This window comes from Homo sapiens, chromosome 7, assembly GCF_000001405.40.
Source record: "Homo sapiens chromosome 7, GRCh38.p14 Primary Assembly".
Lineage (NCBI taxonomy): Eukaryota > Metazoa > Chordata > Mammalia > Primates > Hominidae > Homo > Homo sapiens.
In genome coordinates, this window is record NC_000007.14 from 57,912,704 (window position 1) to 57,937,293 (window position 24,590).

At 36.9% G+C, this 24,590-nt stretch overlaps 4 annotated features.

The window, feature by feature from the left end:
* Positions 19,483-20,269: an enhancer, noted in NCBI's record as "OCT4-NANOG hESC enhancer chr7:57991892-57992678 (GRCh37/hg19 assembly coordinates)". NCBI's record gives its function as "activates a minimal SCP1, AML or CMV promoter by ChIP-STARR-seq in naive H9 embryonic stem cells {active_cell/tissue: H9 hESC(naive)}" and the evidence as "EXISTENCE:reporter gene assay evidence [ECO:0000049][PMID:30033119]".
* Positions 20,270-21,056: an enhancer, noted in NCBI's record as "OCT4-NANOG hESC enhancer chr7:57992679-57993465 (GRCh37/hg19 assembly coordinates)". NCBI's record gives its function as "activates a minimal SCP1, AML or CMV promoter by ChIP-STARR-seq in primed H9 embryonic stem cells {active_cell/tissue: H9 hESC(primed)}" and the evidence as "EXISTENCE:reporter gene assay evidence [ECO:0000049][PMID:30033119]".
* Positions 21,057-21,843: an enhancer, noted in NCBI's record as "OCT4-NANOG-H3K27ac hESC enhancer chr7:57993466-57994252 (GRCh37/hg19 assembly coordinates)". NCBI's record gives its function as "activates a minimal SCP1, AML or CMV promoter by ChIP-STARR-seq in primed H9 embryonic stem cells {active_cell/tissue: H9 hESC(primed)}" and the evidence as "EXISTENCE:reporter gene assay evidence [ECO:0000049][PMID:30033119]".
* Positions 21,844-22,629: an enhancer, noted in NCBI's record as "OCT4-NANOG-H3K27ac hESC enhancer chr7:57994253-57995038 (GRCh37/hg19 assembly coordinates)". NCBI's record gives its function as "activates a minimal SCP1, AML or CMV promoter by ChIP-STARR-seq in primed H9 embryonic stem cells {active_cell/tissue: H9 hESC(primed)}" and the evidence as "EXISTENCE:reporter gene assay evidence [ECO:0000049][PMID:30033119]".

The window sequence follows — 24,590 nt, forward strand, 5'->3', positions numbered from 1 at the left end:
GCACACATCACAAAGGAGATTGTCAGAATGCTTCTGTCTACTTTTTATATGAACATATTTCCTTTTCCACCATAGGCCTCAATGTGCTCCAAATGTCCACTTGCAGATTCTACAAAAAGAGAATTTCAAAACTGCTCAATCAAAAGAAGTTTTAACTCTGTGGGATCAATGCACACATCAGAAAGAAGTTTCTCAGATTGCTTCTTTCCGGATTTCATGTGAAGATATTTCTTTTTCTAACATAGGCTGCAAAATGCCCAAAATGTCCACTTGCAGATTCTACAAAAAGAGTGTTTCCAAACTGCTCAATCAAAGGAAAGTTTCAACCTTGTGAGATGAACGCACGCATCCCAAAAACTATCTCAGAATTCTTCTGTCTAGTTTTCATGTGAAGATATTTCACTTTCCACCATAGGCCTCAAAGTGCTCCAAATATCCACTTGCAGATCCTACAAAAAGAGTGTTTCAAAACTGCTCAATCAAAAGAAAGTTTTGACTCTGTGAGATGAATGCGCACATCACAAAGAGGTTTCTCAGATTGCTTCTGTCTAGATTTTATTTGAAGATATTTCCTTTTGTACCATAGGCTGCAAAGGGCTCTAAATGTCCACTTGCAGATTCTACAAAAAGAGTGTTTCCAAACTGCTCTATTGAAAGAAATGTTCCACTCTGTGAGATGAACGCACACATCACAAAGATGTTTCTCAGAATTCTTCTGTCTAGTTTTTATGTGAAGATATAACCTTTTCCACCGTAGGCCTCAAAGCGCTCCAAATGTCCACTTGCAGGTTTTACAAAAAGAGTGTTTTGAAACAGCTCTATCAAAAGAAAGGTTTAACCCTGTGAGATGAGTGCACCCTTCACAAAGAAGGTGATCAGATTGCTTCTGTCTAGATTTTATGTGAAGATATTTCCTTGTCCTCCGTTGGCCTCAATGTGCTCCTAATGTCCAATTGCAGATTCTACAAAAAGAGTGCTGGAAAACTCCTCAATGAAAAGTAAGTTTCCACTCTGTGAGATGAATGCACGCATCACAAAGATGTTTGTCAGAATGCTTCTGTCTAGTTTTTATGTGAAGATATTTCGTTTTCCACCATAGTCCTCAAAGCGCTCCAAATGTCCACTTGCAGATTGTACAAAAAGTGTGTTTCAAAGCTGCTCAAACAAAAGGAAGGTTCAACTCTGTGACATAAATGCAAACATCACAGAGAAGTTTCTCAGAATGCATTTGTCTAGTTTTTATGTGAAGATATTTCTTTTCTCACCATAGGCTTCAAAGCGCTCCAAATGTCCCCTTGCAGATGCCACAAAAAGAGTTTTTCAAAGCTGCTCAATCAAAAGAAAACTTAAACCCTCTGAGATGAATGCACACATCACAAAGCAGCTTGTCAGAATGATTCTGTCTAGTTTTTATGTGAAGATATTTCCTTTTCCACCATATGCCTCAAAGCACTCCAAATGTCCACTTGCAGATAGTACAAAAAGGGTGTTTCAAAACTGCTCAGTCAAGTTAAGGTTCAACTTGGTGAGACAAATGCACATATCACAAAGAAGGTTGTCAGAATGCTTCTGTGTAGTTTTAATGTGAAGATATTTCCTTTTCCATCATAGGCCTCAAAGCACTCTAAATGTCCACTTAATGATTCTACAAAAAGAGTGTTTCCCCCTGCTCAATGAAAAGTAAGTTTCAACTCTGTGAGATGAATGCACACATTACAAAGACGTTTGTCAGAATGCTTCTGTCTAGTTTTTATGTGAAGATATTTCCTTTTCCACCATATGCCACAAAGCTCTCCAAATGTCCTCTGGCAGATGCTCCAGGAAGAGTATTTAAAGCTGCTCAATCCAAAGAAAAGTTCAACTCTGTGAGATGACGGCACACATCACGAAGTAACTTCTCAGAATGCTTCTGTTTGCTTTTTATGTGGAGATATTTCTTTTTTACCATAGGCCTCAAATCACTCCAAAAGTCCAATTGCAGGTTCTACAAAAAGACTGTATCAAACCTGCTAAATCGAAAGTAAGGTTCAACTCTGTGAGATGAATGCACTGATTACCAAGAAATTTCTCAGAATGCTTCTGTCTACTTGTTACATGAAGATATTTCCTTTTCCACCATAGGCCTCAAAGTACTCCAAATGTCCACATGCAGATAGTACAAATAGGGTGTTTCAAAGCTGCTCAAACAAAATGAAGTTTCCCTCTGTGATATGATTTACAGATCACAAAGTAATTTCTCAGATTGCTTCTGTCTAGATTTTATGTGAAGATATTTCCTTTTCCACCATAATCCTCAAAGAACTCCAAATGTCGATTTCCAGATCCTACAAAAAGAGAGCTTCAAAACTGCTCAATCAAAAGAAAGATTTAACTCTGTGAGATGAATGCACACATCACAAAGAGGTTTCTCAGATTGCTTCTGTCTAGTTTTTATGTGAAGATATTTCCTTTTCCACCACAGGCCTCAAAGCACTCCAAATATCCAAATGCAAATTCTACAAAAAGAGAGTTTCAAAACTGCTCAATCAAAAGAAAGATTTAACTCCGTGAGATGAATGAACACATCATAAAGAAGTTTCTCAGATTGATTCTGTCTAGATTTTATGTGAAGGTATTTACTTTTCTACCATAGGCTGCAAAGCCCTCCAAATGTCCACATGCAGATTCCACAAAAAGAGGGTTTCCAAACTGCTCAATAAAAAGAACGTTTCAACTCTGTGAGATGAATGCACACATCAGAAAGAAATTTCTCAGAATTCTTCTGTCTAGTTTTTATGTGAAGATATTACATGTGAAGAAAACTAGACAGAAGAATTCTCAGAAACTTCTTTGTGATGTGTGCATTCAACTCACAGAGTTGAACCTTTCTTTTGATAGAGCAGTTTTGAAACCCTCTTTTTGTAGAATCTACAAGTGGACATTTGGAGGGCTTTGAGGCCTATGGTAGAAAAGGAAATATTTTCACATAAAAACTAGACGGAATCATTCAGAGAAAATACTTCGTGATGTTTGCATTCATCTCACAGACTTGAAATTTTGTTCAGATTGAACAGTTTGGAAGCAATCTTTTTGCAGGATCTGCAAGTGGACAAGTGAAGTGCTTTGAGACCTACGATGGAAAAGGATATATCAACACATAAAACCTAGACAGAAGCATCCTGAAAAACCTCTTTGTCATGAGTGCATTCATCTCATAGCGTTGAACCTTTCTTTTGATTGAGCAGTTTTGCAACAGCCTTTTTGTACTATCTGCCAGTGGACATTTGGAGTGCTTTGTGGCCTATGGTGGAAAAGGAAGTAGCTTCTCATAAAAAGTAGACAGAAGAATTGTGCAAATTACTTTGTGATGTGTCCGTTCATCTCACAGAGTTGAACATTTCTTTTGCTTGAATTGTTTGGAAACTCTCTTTTTGTAGAATCTGCAAGTGAACGTTTGGAGCGCTTTGAGGCCGATCGTGGAAAAGGTAATATCTTCAAATAAAAACTGTAGAGAAACATTCTGACAAACTACTTCGTGATGTGTACATTCATCTCACAGAGTTGAAACTTTCTTTTCATTGAGCAGTTTTGAAACACTCTATTTGTATTATCTGCAAGTGTATATTTGGAGCACTTTGAGGCCTAAGGTGGAAAAAGAAATATTTTCAGATATATACTACACAGAATCATTCTGAGAAAATTATTAGTGATATGTGCATTCATGTGACAGAGTTGAACGTTACTTTTGATTAAGCAGTTTTGAAACACACTTTTTGTACTATCTGAAAGCAGACATTTGGAGTACTTGGAGTCCTTTTGTGGAAAAGGAAATATCTTCATATAAAAACTAGACAGAAGCATTCTGACACACTTCTTTGTGACGTGTGCATTCATCTCACAGAGTTGAACCTTTCCTTTCGTTGAGCAGCTTTGAAACACTCTTTTTGTAGAATCTGCAATTGGATATTTGGACCGCTTTGAGGCCTTCGTTGGAAACCAGAATATCTTCACATAAAAACTAGGCAGAAGCATTCTCAGAAACTTCTTTGTGGTGTGTGCATTCAACTCACAGAATTGAACCTTTCTTTTCATAAAGCAGTTTTGAAACACTCTTTTTGTAGAATCTGCAAGTGGACATTTGGAGCGCTTTGAGGCCTGTGGTGGAAAAGGAAATATCTTCACATAAAAACTAGGCAGAAGCATTCTGAAAAACTCCTTTGTGATATGTGCATTCATCTCACAGCGTTGAACATTTCTGTTGATTGAGCAGCTCTGAAGCACCCTTTTTGTAGAATGTGTGAGTGGATATTTGGAGCGCTTTGAGGTCTATGGTGGAAAAGCAAATATCTTCACATAAAAACTAGACGGAAGAATTCTGATCAACATCTTTGTGATGTGTGCATTCATCTCACAGAGTTGAACTTTTCTTTTCATTGAGCAGTTTCGAAACAGTCTTTTTGTAGAATCTGCAACAGGACATTTGGAGCGCTTTTGGGCCTATGGTGGAAAAGAAAATATCTTCATATAAAAACTAGACAGAAGCATTCCGACAAAGTTCTCTATGATGTGTGCATTCATGTCACAGAGTTGAACCTTACTTCTCATTGAGTAGTTTTGAAAACCTCTTTTTTTAAAATCTGCAAGTGGACATTTGGAGCCCTTTGAGTCCTATGTTGGAAAAGGAAATATATTCACATAAAAAATAGACAGAAGCATTCTGAAAACTTCTTTGTGATGTGTGCATTCATCTCACAGAGTTCAACCTTTCTTTTGATCGAGCAGTTTTGAAACTCTCTTTTTGTAGAATGTGTAAGTGGACATTTGGTGCGCTTTGAGGCCTAGGGAGGAAAAGGAAATATCTTCACATAAAAACTAGAAAGAAGCATTCTGACAAAGTTCTTTGTGATGTGTTCATTCATCCACAGAGTTGAAATGTACCTGTCATTGAGCAGCTTTGGAACACTCTTTTTGTAGGGTCTGCAAGTGGACATTTGGAGCACTTTGAGGCCAATGGTGGAAAAGGAAATATCTTCACATAAAAATGAGACAAGCATTCGGACAAACTTCTTTGTGATATGTGCATTCATTTCAAAGAGTTGAAGCTACCTTTGATTGAAGAGTTTTGAAACACTCTTTTTGTAGAATCTACAGGTGGACATTTGGAGCGCTTTGAGGCCTATGGTGGAAAAGGAAGTATCTTCAAATAAAAGCTAGACAGAAGCTTTGTGACAAATGCCTTTGGATGTGTGCATTCATCTCACAGAGCTGAACCTTACTTTTGATTGAGCAGTTTTGAAACACCGTTTTTGTACTATCTGCAAGTGGACATTTGGCGTGCTTTGAGGCCTATGGTGGATAATGAAATATCTTCATATAAGAACTAGACAGAAGCATTCTGAGAAATTCCTTTGTGATGTGCGCATTCATCTCACAGAGGTGAACCTTACTTTCAATTGAGCACTTTTGAAAGACTCTTTTTCTAGAATCTGCAAGTGGATATTTGGAGCGCTTTGAGTCCTATGGCGGATAATGAAATAACTTCCTATATTAAATAGACAGAAGCATTATGAGAAACTTTTTGGGATGAGTGCATTCATCTCACACAGAGTTGAACCTTTATTTTGATTGAGCAGCGTTGAAACACTCTTTTTGTGGAATCTGTAAGTGGACATTTGTAGCGCTTTGAGGCCAATGGTGGAAAAGGAAAAATCTTCACATAAAAACAAGACAGAGTTATTCTGAGAAACTATTTTGTGATGTGTGCATTCATCCCACAGAGTTGAACCTTTCTTTTGATTGACCAGCTTTGAAACAGTCTTTGTAGAATCTGGAAGAGGACATTTGGAGCCCTTTGAGGTCTATGGTGGAAAGGGAAATATCTTCATGTAAAAACAAGACAGAAGCATTCTGAGAAACTTCTTTGTGATGTGTGCATTCATCTCACAGAGTTGAACCTTACTTTTTATTGGGCAGCTTTGAAACACTCTTTTTGTAGAATCTGCAAGGGGATATTTTGTTCCCTTTGAGGCCTATGTTGCAAAATGAAATATCTTCACATAATAACTAGACAGAAGCATTCTCAGAAACTTCTTTGTGATGTGTGCATTCAAGTCACAGAGGTGAAAATTTCTTTTGATAGAGCAGTTTTGAAACTCTCTTTTTGTAGAATCTGCAAGTGGATATTTGGAGAGCTTTGAGGCCTATGGTGGAAAAGGAAATATCTTCACATAAAAACTAGACAGAAGCATTCTGTCAAACTTCTTTGTGATGTGTGAATTCATCTCACAGAGTTGAACCTTACTTTTCATTGAGGAGTTTTTAAACACTATTTTTGTAGAATCTGTAAGTGGACATTTGGAGTGCTTTGAAGTCTATTGTGGATAACGTAATATTTTCATATAATAACTAGACAGAGGCATTATGAGAAACTTCTTTTTGACGTGTGCACTCATCTCCCGGAGTTGAAACTTTCTTTTGATAGAGCAGTTTTCATACACACTTTTTGTAGAATTTACAAGTGGACATTTTGAGCTGTTTGAAGGGTTTGGTGGAAAAGGAAATATCTTCAAATAAAAACTAGAATGAAGCATTCTGAGAAACTTCTTTGTGATGTGTGCATTCGTCTCACAGAGTTGAAACTTTTCTTTGATGGAGCAGATTGGAAACACTCTTTTGTAGAATCTGCAAGTGGACATTTGGAGCGCTTTGAGGCCTATGGTGGAAAAGGAAATATCTTCACATAAACACTAGACAGAAGCAATCTGACAAACATCTTGGTGATGTTAGTATTCATCACACAGAGTTGAACCTTTCTTTTGATAGAACAGTTTTGAAACACTCTTTTTGTAGAATCTGCATGAGGACATTTGGAGCACTTTGAGGCTTAGGGTGGAAAAGGAAGTATCTTCAAATAAAAACTAGTCAGAAGCATTCTGACAAACTTCTTGGTGATGTGTGCTGTCATCTCACAGAGTTGAACATTTCTTTTGATTGAACAGCTTTGAAACACTCTTTTTGTAGAATCTGCATGAGGACATTTGGAGCGCTTTGAGACCTATGGTGGAAAAGAAAATAACTTCACATAAAAAGTAGACAGAAGCATTCTGACAAACTTCTTTGTGATGTGTGCATTCATCTCACAGAGTTCAACCTTACTTTTCATTGAGCAGCTTTCAAACACTCTTTTTATAAAATCCACTAGTGGACATTTTGAGCTCTTTGAGGACTAGGTGGAAATGGAAATTTCTTTACATAAAAACTAGAAAGAAGCATTCTGAGAAACTTCTTTGTGATGTGTGCATTCATCTCACAGAGTGGAAACTTCCTTTTGATTGAGCATTTTGGAAACGCTCTTTTTGTAGAATCTGCAAGCTGACATTTGGAGCTCTTTGTGGCCTATTGTAGAAAAGGAAATATCTTCAAATAAAATCTAGACAGAAGCAATCTGAGAAACTTCTTTGTGATGTGTGCATTCATCTCAAAGACTTAAACCTTTCTTTTTATTGAGGAGTTTTGAAACTCTCCTTTTGTAGAAACTGCAAGTGGATATTTGGAGCCCTTTGAGGCCTATGGTGGAAAAGGAAATGTCTTCACATAAAAACCTGGCAGAAGAATTCTGAGAAACTTCTTTGTGATGTGCGCGTTCATCTCACAGAGTTCAACCTTTCTTTTGATTGAGCAGTTTTGAAACAGTCTTTTTGTAGAATATGCAAGTGGACATTTGGAGTGTTTTGCTGCTTATAGTAGAAAAGGAAATATCTTCACATAAAATCTAGACAGAAACATTCTGAGAAACTTCTTTGTGATAGGTACATTCATCTCACAGAGTTAAACCTTTCTTTTGATTGAGTAGTTTTGAAACTTTCTTTTTGTAGAATCTGCAATTGGACATTCGGAGCGCTTTGAGGACTAACGTGGAAAAGTAAATATCTTCACATAAAGCCTAGATAGAAGCATTCTCAGAAACTTCTTTGTGATGTGTGCCTTCATCTCCCAGAGTTATGGTCCAGTTTTGAAATACTCTTTTTGTAGAATCTGCAAGTGGACATTTCGAGCACCTTGAGGCCTGTGGTGGAAAATGAAATATCTTCATATAAAAAATAGACAGAAGAATTCTGAGAAACTTCTTTGTGATGGGTGTGTTTATCTCACAGAGTTGAACATTTGTTTAGATTCAGCAGTTTGGAAACACTCTTTTTGTAGTATCTGCAAGTGGACATGTGGAGCGCTTTGAGTCCTATGTTAGAAAAGGAAATATCTTCTCATGAAAACTAGACAGAAGAATTCTGAGAAGTTACTTTGTGATGTGTGCATTCATCTCACAGAGTTGAACTTTTCTTTTGATTGAGCAGTTTGGAAACACTCTATTTGTAGAGTCTGCAAGTGGACATTTCGAGTGCTTTGTGGCCTATGGTAGAAAAGGAAATATCTTCACCTAAAATCTAGACAGAAGCAATCTGAGAAAATGCTTTGTGATGTGTGCATTCATCTCAGAGTTAAACCTTTCTTTCGATTGAGCAGTTTTGAATCTCTCTTTTTGTAGAATCTGCAAGTAGACATTTGGAGAGCTTTGAGACCTATGGTTTAAAAGGACATATCTTCACATAAAAACTAGATAGAAGCATTCTGAGAAACTTCTTTGTGATGTGTGCATTCATCTCCCAGAGTTGAACATTTCTTTTGAAGGACGAGTTTTGCATTACTCTTTTTGTAGAATCTGCAAGTGGACATTTTGAGCACTTTGAGGCCTATGGTGAAAAAAGAAATATCTTCACATAAAAATGAGACTGAAGAATTCTGAGAAACAACTTTGTGATGTGTGCGTTCATCTCACAGAGTTGAATCTTTCTTTTGATTGAGCAGTTTGGAAAAACTCTTTTTGTAGAATCTGCAAGTGTATATTTGGAGCGCTATGTGACCTACAGTAGAAAAGGAAATATCTTCACATCAAATCTACACAGAAGCCATTTGAGAATGTACTTTGTGATGTATGCATTCATCTCACAGTGTTAAACCTTTCTTTCGTTGAGCAGTTTGTAAACACTCTTTTTGTAGAATCTGCAAGTGGACACTTGGAGTACTTTGCGGCCTATGCTAGAAAAGGAAGTATCTTCACATAAAATCTAGACAGAAGCAGTCTGAGAAACTTATTTGTGATGTGTGCATTCATTCACAGAGTTAAACCTTTCTTTGGATTGAGCAGTTTTGAAACTCTCTTCTTGTAGAATCTGCAATGGACATTTGGAGTGCTTTGAGGCCTATGGTGGAAAAGGAAATATCTTCACATAAAAACAAGATAGAAGAATTCTGAAGAACTTCTTTGTGATGCGTGCGTTCATCTCACAGAGTTGAACCTTTCTTTTGACTGAGCAGTTTGGAAGCACTATTTTTGAAGAATCTCCAAGTGGACATTTGGAGTGCTTTGCGGCCTAGGGTCGAAAACGAAATATCGTCACATAAAATCTAGACAGAAGCAATCTGAGAAACTACTTTATGATGTGTGTATTCATCTCACAGAGTTAACCCTTTCTTTTGAATGAGTAGTTTTGAAACTCTCTTTTTGTAGAATCTGCAATTGGACATTTGGAGCGCTTTGAGGCCTATTGTGGAAAACTTAATCTCTTCACATAAAAACTAGGTAGAAGAATTCTGACAAACTTCTTTCTGATATGTGCATTCATCTCATGGAGTTGAAACTTTTCTTTTGATTGAGTAGTTTGGAAACACTCTTTTTGTCGAATCTGCAGATAGACATTTTGAGCGTTTTGCGGCCGATAGTAGAAAAGGAAATATCTTCAAATAAAATCTTCACAGAAGCAGTCTGAGAAACTTCCTCTTGATGTTTGCATTCATCTCAAAGAGTTAACCGTTTCTTTTGATTGAACAGTTTTGAAACTCTCTTTTTGTAGAATATGCAAGTGGACATTTGGAGCGCTTTGAAGAATATGGTGGAAAAGGAAATATCTTCACATAAAAACTAGAGAGAAGAATTCTGAGAAACTTCTTTTCTGATGCTTGCATTCATCTCAAAGAGTTGAAATTTTCTTTTGATTGAGCATTTTGGAAACACACTTTTCGTATAATCTGCAAGTGGACATTAGGAGCGCTTTGCTGCTAATGTTAGAAAAGGAAATATCTTCACATAATATCTAGACAGAGGCAATCTGAGAAACTGCTTTGTGATGTGTACATTCATATCACAGAGTTAAAACTTCCTTTTGATTAAGAGTTTTGAAACACTCTTTTTGTAGATTCTGCAATTGGACATTTGGAGCTCCTTGAGGCCTATAGTGGAAAAGAAATATCTTCACATAAAAACTAGACAGAAGAATTCTGACAAACTTCTTTTGATATGTGCATTCATCTCACAGAGTTGAAGGTTTCTTTTGATTGAGTAGTTTGGAAACACTCTTTTTCTAGAATTTGCAAGTGGACATTGGAGCGCTTTGAAGTCTATGGTCGAAACGGAAATATCTTCACATAAAATCTAGACAGAAGCAATCTGAGAAACTTCTTTGTGATGTGTGCATTCATCTCACGGAGTTAAACCTTTCTTTTGAGCAGTTTTGAAACTCTCTTTTTGTAGAATCTGCAAGTGGACATTTGGAGCGCTTTGAGGCCTATGGTGGAAAAGGAAATATCTTCACATAAATACCAGACAGAAGCAATCTGAGAAACTTCCTTGTATTGTGTGCATTCATCTCACACAGTTAACCCTTTCTTTTGATTGAGCAGTTTTGAAACTCTCTTTTTGTAGAATCTGCAAGTGGACATTTGGAGGGCTTTGAGGAATATGATGGAAAAGGAAATATCTTCACATAAAAACTACACAGAAGAATTCTGAGAAACTTCTTTGTGATAAGTGCATTCCTCTCACAGAGTTAAAACTTTCTTTTGATTTTGAAGTTTTGAAATTCTCTTTTTATAGATTCTACAAGTGGACATTTGGAGCCCTTTGAAACCTGTGGAGGAAAAGGAAATATCTTCACATAAAAACTAGACAGAAGAATTCTGAGAAACCTCTTTGTTTTGTGTGCATTCATCTCACAGAGTTGAATCATTCTTTTGATTGAGCATTTTGGAAACACTGTTTTTGTAGAATCTGCAAGTGGACCGTTGGGGCGATTTGCGGCCTAAGGTAAAAAAGGAAATATCTTCATATAAAATCTAGACAGAAGCAATCTGTGAAACTTCTTTGTGGTGTGTGCGTTCATCCCACGGAATTGAAACTTTCTTTTGATTGAGCAGTTGGAAACCCTCTTTTTGTAGACTCTGCAAGTGGACATTTGGAGTGCTTTGCGGCCTGTGGTAGAAAAGTAAATATCTTCACAGAATATCTAGACAGAAGCAATCAGAGAAACTTCTTTGTGATGTGTGCATTCATCTCACAGAGTTATCCCTTTCTTTTGATTGAGCAGTTTTGAAACTCTCTTTTTGTAGAATCTGCCAGTGGACATTTGGAGCGCCTTGTAACCTATGGTGGAAAAGGAAATATCTTCACATAAAAACTAGACAGAAGAATTCTGAGAAACTTCTTTTTGATGTGTGCATTCATCTCATGGAGTCGAACCTTTCTTTTGATTGAGCAGTTTGGAAACACTCTTTTTGTGGAATCTGCAAGTGGACATTTGGAGCACTTTGCACCTATAGTAGAAAAGGAAATATCTTCACATAAAAACTACACAGAATCAATCTGAGAAACTACTTTGTGACGTGTGCATTCATCTCACAGAGTTAAACCATTCTTTTGATTGAGCAGTTTTGAAACCCTCTTTTGTAGAATATGTAAGTGGACACTTGGAGCACTTTGAGGCCTATGGTGGAAAAGGAAATATCTTCACATAAAAACTAGGCAGAAGAATTCTCAGAAACTTCTTTGTGATGTGTGGTTTCATCTCACAGAGTTGAGCCTTTCTTTTGATTGAGCAGTTTTGAAACCCTCTTTTTGGAGAATCTGCAAGGGGACATTTGGAGCGCTTTGAGGCCTATGGTGGATAACGAAATATTTTCCCATAATAACTAGACAAAAGCATTCTGAGAAATATCTTCGTGATGTGTGTGTTTATCTCACAGGGTTAAAATTTTCTTTTGTTTGAGCAGTTTTGAATCTCTTTTTTTGTAAAATCTTCACGCGGTCATTTGGAGAGCTTTGAGGCCTTTGTTGGAAATGGAAATATCTTCACATAAAAACTAGACAGAAGAATTCTGAGAAACTTCTTTGCGATGCATGTGTTCATCTCATGGAGGTGAACCTTTCTTTTGATTGAGGAGTTCAGAAACACTCTTTTTGTAGAATCTGCAAGTGGTCATTAGAAGCGCTTTGCGGCCTATGTTAGAAAAGGAAATATCTTCACGTAAAATCTAGACAGAAGCAATCTGAGAAACTTCTTTGTGATGTGTGCATTCATCTCACAAAGTTAAACCTTTCTTCTGATTCAGCAGTTTTGAAACTCTCTATTTGTAGAATTTGCAAGTGAAAATTTGGAGTGCTCTGAGGCCTACAGTGGAAAAGGAAATATCCTCACATAAACACTAGATAGAAGCATTCTGAGAAACTACTTTGTGATGTGTGCATTCGTCTCCAAGAGTCAAAACTTTCTTTTGAAGGACCAGTTTTGAAATACTCTTTTTGTGGAATCTGCAAGTGGACATTTCGAGCGCCTTGAGGACTATTTTGGAAATCGAAATATCTTCACATAAAACTAGACAGAATAATTCTGAGAAACTTCTTTGTGATGTGTGCTTTCATATCACGGAATTGAACGTTTCTTTTGATTGAGCAGTTTGGAAACACTCTTTTTGTAGAATATGCAAGTGGACACTTGCAGTGTTTTGCAGCCTATGGTAGAAAAGGAAATATCTTCATGTAATATGTAGACAGAAGCAATCTGAGAAATTGCCTTGTGATGTGTGCATTCATCTCACAGAGTTAAACCTTTTGATTGAGAATTTTGAAACACTCTTTTTGTAGAATTTTCAAGTGGACATTTGTAGCACTTTGAGGCCTATGGTGGAAAAGGAAATATATTCACATAAAAACTACTCAGAACAATTCTGAGAAACTTCTTTGTGATGAGTGAGTTCATCTCACACAGCAGAACCTTTCTTTTGATTGAGCAGTTTTGAAACACTCTTTTTGTAGAATCTGCAAGTGGACATTTGGAGCGCTCTGCGGCCTATGGTAGAAAAGGAAATACCTACACATAAAATCTAGAAAAAAGCAACCTGGGAAACATCTTTGTGATTTGTGCATTCAAATAACAGAGTTAACTCTTTCTTTTGATTGAGCAGTTTTGAAACTCTCTCTTTGTAGAATCTATAAGTGGACATTTGTAGCGCCTTGCGGCCTATGGTAGAAAAGGAAATATCTACACATAAAATCTAGCCAGAAGCTATCCAAGAAACATCTTTGTGATGTGTTCATTCAGCTCACAGAGTTAAACCTTTCTTTTGATTGAGCAGTTTTGAAACTCTCTTTTTGTAGAATCTGCAAGTGGACATTGGGAGCACTTTGCGGCCTATGTTAGAAAAGGAAATCTCTTCACATAAAACCTAGACAGAAGCAATCTGAGAAACATCTTTGTGATGTGTGCATTCATCTCACAGAGTTAAACCTTTCTTTTCGTTGAGCAGTTTTGAACCTCTCTTTTTGTACAATCTGGATGTGGACATTTGGAGTGATTTGAGGCCTATGGTGGAAAGGGAAATATCTTCACATAAAAACTAGACAGAATTCTGAGAAACTTCTTTGTGATGTGTACGTTCATCTCACAGAGTTGAACCTTTCTTTTGATTGAGCAGTTTGGAAACACTACTTTGTATAATCTGCAAGTGGACATTTGGAGTGCGTTGTGGCCTATGGTAGAAAAGAAAATATGTTCACATAAAACCTAGACAGAAGCAATCTGAGAAACTTTTTTGTGACGTGTGTTTTCTTTTTTTTTAAAGTGTGTTTCTTTTTTTTTAGTTTATTATTATTATACTTTAAGTTTTAGGGTACATGTGAACAATCTGCAGGTTAGTTACATATGTATACATGTGCCATGCTGGTGTGCTGCACCCACTAACTAGTCATCTAGCATTAGGTATATCTCCCAATGCTATCCCGCCCCCCTCACCCCCACTCTACAACAGTCCCCAGAGTGTGATGTTCCCCTTCCTGTGTCCATTGTGTTCTCATTGTTCAATTCCCACCTATGACAGAGTTAAGCCTTTCTTTTCATTGAGCAGTTTTGAAAGTCTCTTTTTGTAGAATCTGGAAGTGGACATTTGCAGCGCTTTGAGGCCTACGGTGGAAAAGGAAATATCTTCACATAAAATCTACACAGAAGAAATCTGAATAACTTTTTTGTGATGTGTGCATTCGTCTCGCAGAGTTAAAGCTTTCTTTTTAAGGACCAGTTTTGAAATAGTCTTTTTGTAGAATCTGCAAGTGGACATTCTGAGAGCCTTGAGGCCTATTTTGGAAAAGGAAATATCTTCACATAAAAACTGGACAGAATAATTCTGAGAATCTCCTTTGTGATGCATGCGTTCATATCACAGAGTTGAACGTTTCTTTTGATTGAGCAGTTTGGAAACACTGTTTTTGCAGAATCTGCCAGTGGATATTTGGAGTGCTTTGCAGCCTATGGTAGAAAAGGAAATATCTTCACATAAAATCTAGACAGAAGCAATCTGAGAAACTTCTTTCTGATGTGTGCATTCATCTCACAGTGTTAAACCTTTCTTTTGATTGAGCAGTTTTAAATATCTCTTTGCAGAATAAGCAAGTTGGCATCGGAAGCGCTTTGAGGCATATGGAAGAAAAGGAAATATCTTCACATAAAAATTAGACAGAAGAATTCTGAGAAACTTCTTTGTGATATGTGCATTCATCTCACAGAGTTGAACTTGTCTTTTTGTTGAGAAGTTTGGAGACACTCTTTTTGTAGAATCTGCAAGTGGTCATTTGGAGCACTTTGTGGCCTATGTTAGAAAAGGGAATATCTTCACATAAAATCTATACCGAAGCCAACTGAGAAACTTCTTTGTGATGTGTGCATTCGTCTCCCAGACTTCAAATTTCTTTTGAAGGACCTGTTTTGAAATACTCTTTTTTAGAATCTGCAAGTGGACATTTTGAGCGTCTTGAGGACTATTTTGGAAATGGAAATATCTTCACATAAAAACTAGACAGAATAATTCTGAGAAACTTCTTTGTGATGTGTGCGTTTATATCACAGAGTTGTACGTTTCTTTTGATTGAGCGGTTTGGAAACACTCTTTTTGTAGAATATGCAAGTGGACATTTGCAGTGTTTTGCGACCTATGGTAGAAAAGGAAATATCTTCACATAATATTTAGACAGAAGCAATCTGAGAAACTTCCTTGTGATGTGTGCATTCATCTCACAGAGTTAAACCTTTTGATTGAGCAGTTTCGAAACTCCTCTTTTTGTAGAATTTTCAAGTGGACATTTGTAGCGCTTTGAGGCCTATGGTGGAAAAGGAAATATATTCACATAAAAACTACTCAGAACAATTCTGAGAAACTTCTTTGTGATGAGCGCGTTCATCTCACACAGCAGAACCTTTCTTTTGATTGAGTAGTTTTGAAGCTCTCTCTTTGTAGAATCTATAAGTGGACATTTGGAGCACCTTGCGGCCTATAGTAGAAAAGGAAATATCTACATATAAAATCTAGCCAGAAGCAATCCAAGGAACATCTTTGTGATGTGTGCATTCATCTCACAGAGTTAAACCTTTCTTTTGATTGAGCAGTTTTGAAACTCTCTTTTTGTAGAATCTACAAGTGGACATTGGGAGCTCTTTGAGGCCTATGTTAGAAAAGGAAATATCTTCACATAAAACCTAGATAGAGGCAATCTGAGAAACATCTTTGTGATGTGTGCATTCATCTCACGGAGTTAAACCTTTCTTTTCGTTGAGCAGTTTTTAAACTGTCTTTTTGTAGAATGTGCAAGTGGACATTTGGAGCGCTTTTTGTCCTATGGTGGGAAAGGAAGTATCTTCACATAAAAACTAGACCGAAGAATTCTGAGAAACTTCTTTGTGACGTGTACGTTCATCTCACTGAGTTGAACCTTTCTTTTGATTGAGCAGTTTGGAAACACTCTTTTTGTAGAATCTGCAAGTAGACATTTGGAGCGCTTTTCAGCCTACGGTAGAAAAGGAAATATCTTCACATCACAAAGAGAGAGTTTCAAAACTGCTCTATCAAAAGAAAGGTTTAACCCTGTGCGATGAATGCACATATCACAAAGAAGTTTCTCAGATTGCTTCTGTCTAGATTTTATGTGAAGATATTCCTTTTTCCACCATAGGCCTCAAAGCGCTCCAAATGTCCACTTGCAGATTCTACAAAAAGAGTGCTTCCAAACTGCTCGATGAAAAAAATGGTTCAACTCTGTGAGATGAATGCACGCATCACAAAGAAGTTTCTCAGAATTTTTCTATCTAGTATTTATTTGAAGATATTTCATTTTCCACCATAGTCCTTAAGGTGCACCAAATGTCCACTTGCAGATTCTACAAAAGGAGTATTTCAATACAGGTCCATCAAAAGAAAGTTTCAACTCTGTGACATGAATGCACACATCAAAAAGAAGTTTCTCCGAATGCTTCTATCTAGTTTTTATGTGAAGATATTTCCTTTTCCACCATAGGCCTAAAAGCGCTCCAACTGTACACTTGCACATTCTACAAAAAGAGAGATTCAAACTGCTCAATCAAAAGAAAGGTTTAACTCTGTGAGATGAATGCACACATCACTAAGAAATTTCTCAAATTGCTTCCGTTTAGATTTCATGTGAAGATATTTCCTTTTCATCCAAAGGGTGCAAAGCGCTCCAAATGTCCACTTGCAGATTTTACAAAAAGAGTGCTTCCAAACTGCTCAATCAAAAGAAAGGTTCAACTCTGTGAGATGAACGCACACATCACAAAGAAGTTTGTCTGAATTATTCTGTTTAGTTTTTATGTGAAGATATCTCCTTTGCCACCATAGGCCTCAAAGTGCTCCAAATGTCCACTTGCAGATTTTACAAAAACAGAGTTTCAAATCTGCTCAATCAAAAGAAAGGCTTAACTCTGTGAGATGAATGTACACATCACAAAGTAGTTTCTCAGATTGCTTATGTCTAGATTTTATGTGAAGATACTTCCTTTTCTACAGTAGGCCCCTAAGCGCTCCAAATATTCATTTGCAGATTGCAAAAAAAGAGTTTCATAATTGCTGAATCAAAAAAAAAGTTTCAACTCTGTGAGATGAACACAATTAGTTTATCAGAATTCTTTGGTCTAGTTTTTATGTGAAGATATTTCCTTTTCCACCATAGACCTCAAAAGGCTCCAAATGTCCCCTTGCAGATTTTACATAAAGAGAGTTTCAAAACTATTAAATCAAAAGAAAGGTTTAATCCTGTGTAGAATTTATGTGAAGATATTTCCTTTTCTACCACAGGCGCCAAAGTGCTCCAAATGTCCACTTGCAGATCCTACAAAAAGAGAGTTTCAAAACTGCACAATCAAAAGAAACGTTAAACACTATGTCATGAATGCACACATCTCAAAGAAGTTTCTCAGATTATTTCTGTCTAGATTTTCTGTGAAGATATTTCCTTTTCTACTATAGGCCGCAAAGCACTCCAAATGTCCACTTGCAGATTCTACAAAGGAGTGTTTCCAAATTGCTCAATCAAAAGAAAGGTTCAACTCTGTGCAATGAACGCACATATCACAAAGAAGTTTCTCAAAATTCTTCTGTCTAATTTTTATATGAGGATATTTCCTTTTCCACCCTAGGCCTCAAAAGGCTCCCAATGTCCACTTGCAGATTTTATGCAAAGAGAGTTTCAAAACTGCTCAATCAAAAGGAAATTTTAATTCTGTGAGTTAAATGCACATATCACAAAGAAGTTTCCCCGATTGCCTCTGTCTCGATTTTATGTGAAGATATTTCCTTTTCTACCATAGTCTGCAAAACGCTCCATATGTCCACTTGCAGATTCTACAAAAAGCGTGTTTCCAAACTGCTCAATCAAAAGAAAGTTTCAACTCTGTGAGATGAACTCATACATCACAAAGAAGTTTCTCAGAATTCTTCTGTCTAGTTTTTATGTGAACATATTTCCTTTTCCACCATAGGCCTCAAAGTACTCCAAATGTCCACTTGCAGATTCTACAAAAAGAGAGTTTCAAAACTGCTCAATCAAAAGAAAGGTTCAACTCTGTGATCTGAATGCACACATCACAAAGAAGTTTCTCAGCTTGCTTCTGTGTAGTTTTTATGTGAAGATATTTCCCTTTCTACCATAGGCCTCAAACTGCTCCAAATGTCCACTTGTAAATTCTACAAAAAGGGAGTTCAAAACTGCTCAATAAGAGAAAGTTTCAACTCTGTGAGATGAATGCACACGTCAAAAAGAAGTTTCTCAGATTGATTCTGTCTGGATTTATGTGAAGACATTTTCTTTTTTGCAATAGACAGTAAAGCACTCCAAATGTCCACTTGCAGATTCTAAAAAAAGGAGAATTTCAAAACTGCTCAATCGAAAGACAGGTTCAACTCTGTTAGATAAATGCGCACATCACAAAGAAGTTTCTCAGAATGCTTCTGTGTAGTTTTTATGTGAAGATATTTCCTTTTCCACAATACGCTTCAAAGCACTCCTTATATCCACTTGCAAATTCTGCAAAAAGAGTGCTTCAAAACTGCTCAACCATAAGATAGGTGCACACCTGTCAGATCAATGCACGCATCACAAAGAAATTTGTCAGAATGCTTCTGTGTAGTTTTTATGTGAACATATTTGCTTTTCCACAGTAGGCCTCAAGTCGCTCCAAATATCCACTTGCATATTCAACAAAAACAGTGTTTCAAAACTGCTCAATAAAAAAAGGGATCAATTCTGTGAGATGAACGCACACATCACAAAGAAGTTTCTCAGAATGCTTCTATGAAGTTTTTATGTGAATTTATTTCATTTCCTACAGTAGGCTTCAAAGCTCTCCAAATATACACTTGCAGATTCTGCAAAAAGAGAGATTCAAAACTGCTCAATCAAAAGATAGGTTGAACCCTATGAGATGAATGCGCACATCACAAAGAAGTATCTCAGAATGCTTCTGTGTAGTTTTTACTTGAATATATTTTCTTTTCCGCCACAGACCGAAAATGTCTCCAAATATCCACTTGCAGATTCTTTAAAAGGAGACATACAAAACTGTTCAATCAAAAGATAGGTTCAACTCTGTGAGTTGAATGCACATATCACAAAGAAATTTCTCAGAATGCTTCTGTGTAGTTTTAATGTGATGATATTTTCTTGTCCACAATAGACCTCAAAGCTCTCCAAATATCCACTTGTAGATTCTGCCTAAAGAGAGATTTAAAACTGCTCAATCAAAAGATTGCTTCGACTCTGTGTGTTGAATACACACCTCACAAAGAAGTTTCTCAGAATGCTTCTGTGTAGTTTTTATGTGCACATATTTACCTTTCCATAGTAGGTCTAAAAGCGCTCCAAAAATCCACATAGAGATTCTGCAAAAAGGGAGACTTGAGACTGCTAAATCAAAAGATAGGTTCAACTCTGTCAGTTGAATGGACACATCACAAAGAAGTTTCCAAGAATGTTTCTGTGTAGTTTTTATGTGAAGATATTTCCTCTTCCAAAATAGGCCTCAAAGCCCTTAAAATATCCACTTCCAGATTCTACAAAAAGAGTGTTTCAAAACTACTCAATCAAAAGAAAGTTTCAACTCTGTGTGATGAATGCACTCATCACAAAGAAGCTTCTCAGAATGCTTCTGTGTAGTTTTTATTTGAAGATATTTCCTTTTCCACCATAGGGCGCAAAGGGCTCCTAATATCCACTAGCAGATTTTACAAAAAGAGAGATTCAAAACTGCTAAGTCAAAAGATAGGTTCAACTCTGTGAGTTGAATGCACAGGTAACAAAGAAGTTTCGAAAAATGTTTCTGTGTAGTATTTATGAGAAGATATATGCTTTTCCAAAACAGGCCTCAAATCGCTCCAAATATCCACTGGCAGATTCTACAAAAAGAGTGTTTCCAAACTCCTCAATCAAAAGAAGGGTTAAAATCTGTGAGATGAATGCACACATCACAAAGAAGTTTCTCAGAATGCTTCTGTGTAGTTTTTATGTGAAGATATTTGCTTTTCTGCAGTAGGCCTCAAAGTGCTCCAAATATCCACTTGCAGATACTACAAAAACAGTGTTTCAAAACTGCTCAATCAAAAGAATGGATCAACTCTTTGAGATGAATGCACACATCACAGAGAAGTTTCTCAGAATGCTTCTGTGTAGTTTTTATGTGAAGATATCTCCTTTTCCAAAGTAGGCCTCAAAGCACTGCAAATATCCATTTGCAGATTCTGCAAAAAGAGAGATTCAAAAGTGCTCAATCAAAAGATAGGTTCAACTCTGTGAGTTGAATGCACACATAACAAAGAAGTTTCTCAGAATGCTTCTGTGTAGTTTTTATGTGAAGATATTTGCTTTTCCACAGTAGGCCTCAAAGTGCTCAAAATATCCACTTGCAGATTCAACAAAAGCAGTGTTTCAAAACTGCTCAATAAAACAAGAGATCAACTCTGAGAGATGAATGCATGCATCACAAACAAGTTTCTCAGAACGCTTCAGGGAAGTTTTTATGTGAATTTATTTCCTTTCCCACAGTAGGCCTCAAGACTCTCCAAATATCCACTTGCAGATTCTGTAAAAAGAGAGATTCAAAACTGCTCAATCAAAAGATAGGTTCAACCTTATGAGATGAATGAAAACATCACGAAGAAGTTTCTGAGAATGCTTCTGTGTAGTTTTATTTGAAGTTATTTCCTCTTCCACCATGGACTGCAAACGGCTCCAAATATCCACTTGCAGATTCTACAAAAAGAGAGATACAAAACTCCTCAATCAAAAGATAAGTTCAACTCTGTAAGTTGAATGCACACATCACAAAGAAGTTTCTCAGAATGCTTCTGTGTAGTTTTTATGTGAAGATATTTGCTTTTCCACAGTAGACCTCAAAGCTCCCCAAATATCCACTTGCAGATTCTGCAAAAAGAGACATTCAAAACTGCTCAATCAAAAGATAGCATCGACACTGTGAGTTGAATGCACACCTTACAAAGAAGTTTCTCAGAATGCTTCTGTGTATATTTTATGTGAAGATATTTCCTTTTCCACAATAGGCCTCAAAACGCTACAAATATCCACCAGCAGATTCTACAAAAAGAGTGTTTCAAAACTGCTCAATCATAAGATAGGTTTAACCCTGTGAGATGAATGCACACATCACAATGTAATTTCTCAGAATCCTTCTGTGTAGTTTTTATTTAAAGATATGTCCTTTGCCACCATAGAATGCAAAGGGCTCCCAATATCCACTTGCAGATTCTACAAAAACAGAGATTCAAAACTGCTCAAGCAAAAGATACGTACAACTCTGTGAGTTGAATACATACATCAGAAAGTAGTTTCTCAGAATGCTTCTGTGTATTTTTTCTCGGAAGATATTTCCTTTTCCACAATAGGCCTCAAAGCCCTCCAAATATCCACTTGCAGATTCTGCAAAAAGAGAGATTCAAAACTGCTCAATCAAATGATAGGTTCGACTCTCTGAGTTCAATGCACACCTCACAAAGAAGTTTCTTAGAATGCTTCCGTGTCGTTATTATGTGAAGGTATTCGCTTCTCCACTGTAGGCCTCAAAGCGCTCCAAATATCCTCTTGCAGATTATTCAAAAAGAGATTCAAAACTGCTCAATGAAAAGATAGGTTCAACTCTGTGAGTTGAATGCACACATCACAGAGAAGTTTCTCAGAATGCTTCTGTGTAGTTTTTATGTGAAGATATTTCCTTTCCCATAATAGGCCTCAAAGCCCTCCAAATATCCACTTCCAGATACTGCAAAAAGAGTGTTTCAAAGCTGCTCAATCAAAAGAAATGTTCAATTCTGTGTGATGAATGCACTTATCACAAAGAAGTTTCTCTGAATTCTTCTGTGTAGTTTTTATGTGAAGATATTTCCTTTTCCACAATAGACCTCAAAGCTTTCCAGTTATCCACCTGCAGATTCTGCAAAAAGAGAGATTCAAACTGCTCAATCAAAATAATGGTTCAACTCGGTGAGATGAATGCACACATCACAAAAAAGTTTCTAAGAATCCTTCTGTGTGGTTTTTATGTGAAGATATTCACTTTTCCACAGTAGGCTTCAAGGCGCTCCAAATATCCACTTGCAGAGACTGCAAAAACAGTGTTTCAAAACTGTTCAATCAAAAGAAAGGATCAACTCTGTGAGATGAATGCACATATGACAAAGATTTTTCTCAGAATGCTTCTGTGTAGTTTTTATGTGAAGATATTACCTTTTCCACCATAGGCCACAAAGGGCTCCAAATATCCACTTGCAGATTCCACAAAAAGAGAGTTTCAAAACTGCTCAATGAGAAGATAAGTTCAACTCTGTGAGTTGAATGCACACCTCACAAAGAAGGTTCTCAGAATGCCACTGTGTAGTTTTAATGTGAAGATATTTCCTTTCCACAATAGGCCTCAAAGCTCTCCAAACATCCACTTGCAGATTCTGCAAAAAGAGAGATTCAAAACTGCTCAATCAGAAGATAGGTTCAACTCTGTGAGTTGAATGCACACATCATGAAGAAGTTTCTCACAATGCTTCTGTGTAGTTTTTATGTGAACATACTTGATTTTCCACAGTAGGCCTCACAGTGCTCCAAATATCCACTTGCGGATTCTAAAAAAAGAGAAATTCAAAAATGCTCAGTCAAATGACAGGTTCAACTCTGTGAGTTCAAAGTACACATCACAAAATAGTTTCTCAGAAGGCTTCTGAGTAGTTTTTATGTGAAGATATTTCTTTTTCCACAATAGGCCTCAAAGGGCTCCAATTATCCACTTTCAGATTCTACAAAAAGAGTGTTTCAAAACTGCTCAATCAAAAGAAAGGTTCAACTCTGTGAGATGAATGCACACATCACAAAGAAGTTTCTCAGAATGCTTCTTTGTAGTTTTTATCTGAAGATATTTACTTTTCCACGGTAGGCCTCAAAGCGCTGCAAATATCCACTTGCAGATTCTACAAAAAGAGTGTTTCAAAACTGCTCAATCAGAATATAGGTTCAACCCTGTGGGATGAATGCGCACATCACAAAGAGGTTTCTCAGAATGTTTCTGTGTAGTTTTTATTTGAAGATATTTCCTTTTCCACCATAGGCCACAAAGGATTCCAAATATCCACTTGCGGATTCTGCAAAATGAGAGATTCAAAACTCCTCAATCAAAAGATAGGTTCAACTCTGGAAGTTGAATGCACACATCCCAAATAAGTTTCTCAGAATGCTTCTGTGTAGTTTGTATGTGAAGATATTTGCTTTTCCACAGTAGGCCCCAAAGAGCTCCAAATATCCACCTGCAGGTTCTGCAAAAAGAGAGATTCAAAACTGCTCAATCAAAAGATTGGTTCTACTCTGTGAGTTGAATGTACCCATCACGAAGAAGTTTTGAGAATGCTAGTTTTTATTTGAAGATATTTCCTTTTCCACCATAGGGCACAAAGGGCCCCAAATATCCACTGGCAGATTCTACAGAAAGAGAGATTCTAAACTGCTCAATCAAAAGACAGGTTCAACTCTCTGAGTTGAATGCACACATCACAAAGAAGTTTCTCAGAGTGCTTCTGAGTGGCTTTTATGTGAAGATATTTGTTTTTCCAAAATAGGCCTAAAAGTGCTCCAATTATCCACTTGGAGATCTACAAAAAGAGTGTTTCAAACCTACTCAATCATAAGATAGGTTCAACCCTGTGAGATGAATGCGCACATCACAAAGAAATTTCTCAGAATGTTTTTGTGTAGTTTTTACTTGAAGACATTTCCCTTTCCACCATAGACCGCAACGGGCTCCAATTATGCACCTACAGATCCCAGAAAAAGAGAGTTTCGAAACTTCTCAATCAAAAGAAAGGTTCAACTCTGTGAGATGAATGCACACATCACAAGGAAGTTTCTCAGAATGCTTCTGTGTAGTTTTCATGTGAAGGTATTTCCTTTTCCACAATTGGCCTCAAAGCTCTCCAAATATCCACTTGCAGATCCTACAAGAAGAGTGTTTCAAAACTGCTCAATTATAAGATAGGTTCAACCCTGTGAGATGAATGCACACGTCACAAAGAAGTTTCTCAGAATGCTTCTGTTTAGTTTTTATTTGAAGATATTTCCTTTCCACCATAGGCCACAAAGGGCTCCAAATATCCACTTGCAGATTCTGCAAAAACAGTGTTTCAAAACTGCTCAATCAAAAGAAAATTTCAACTCTGTGAGATGAATACACACATCAAAAAGCAGTTTCTCAGAATGATTCTGTGTAGTTTTATCTGAAGATATTTGCTTTTGCACGGTAAGCCTCAAAGCACTCCAAATATCCACTTGCAGATTCTATAAAAAGAGTGTTTCAAAACTGCTCAATCATAAGATAGGTTCAACTCTGTGAGTTGAATGCACACATCGCGAAGAAGTTTCTCAGAATGCTTCTGTGTAGTTTTAATGTGAAGATATTTTC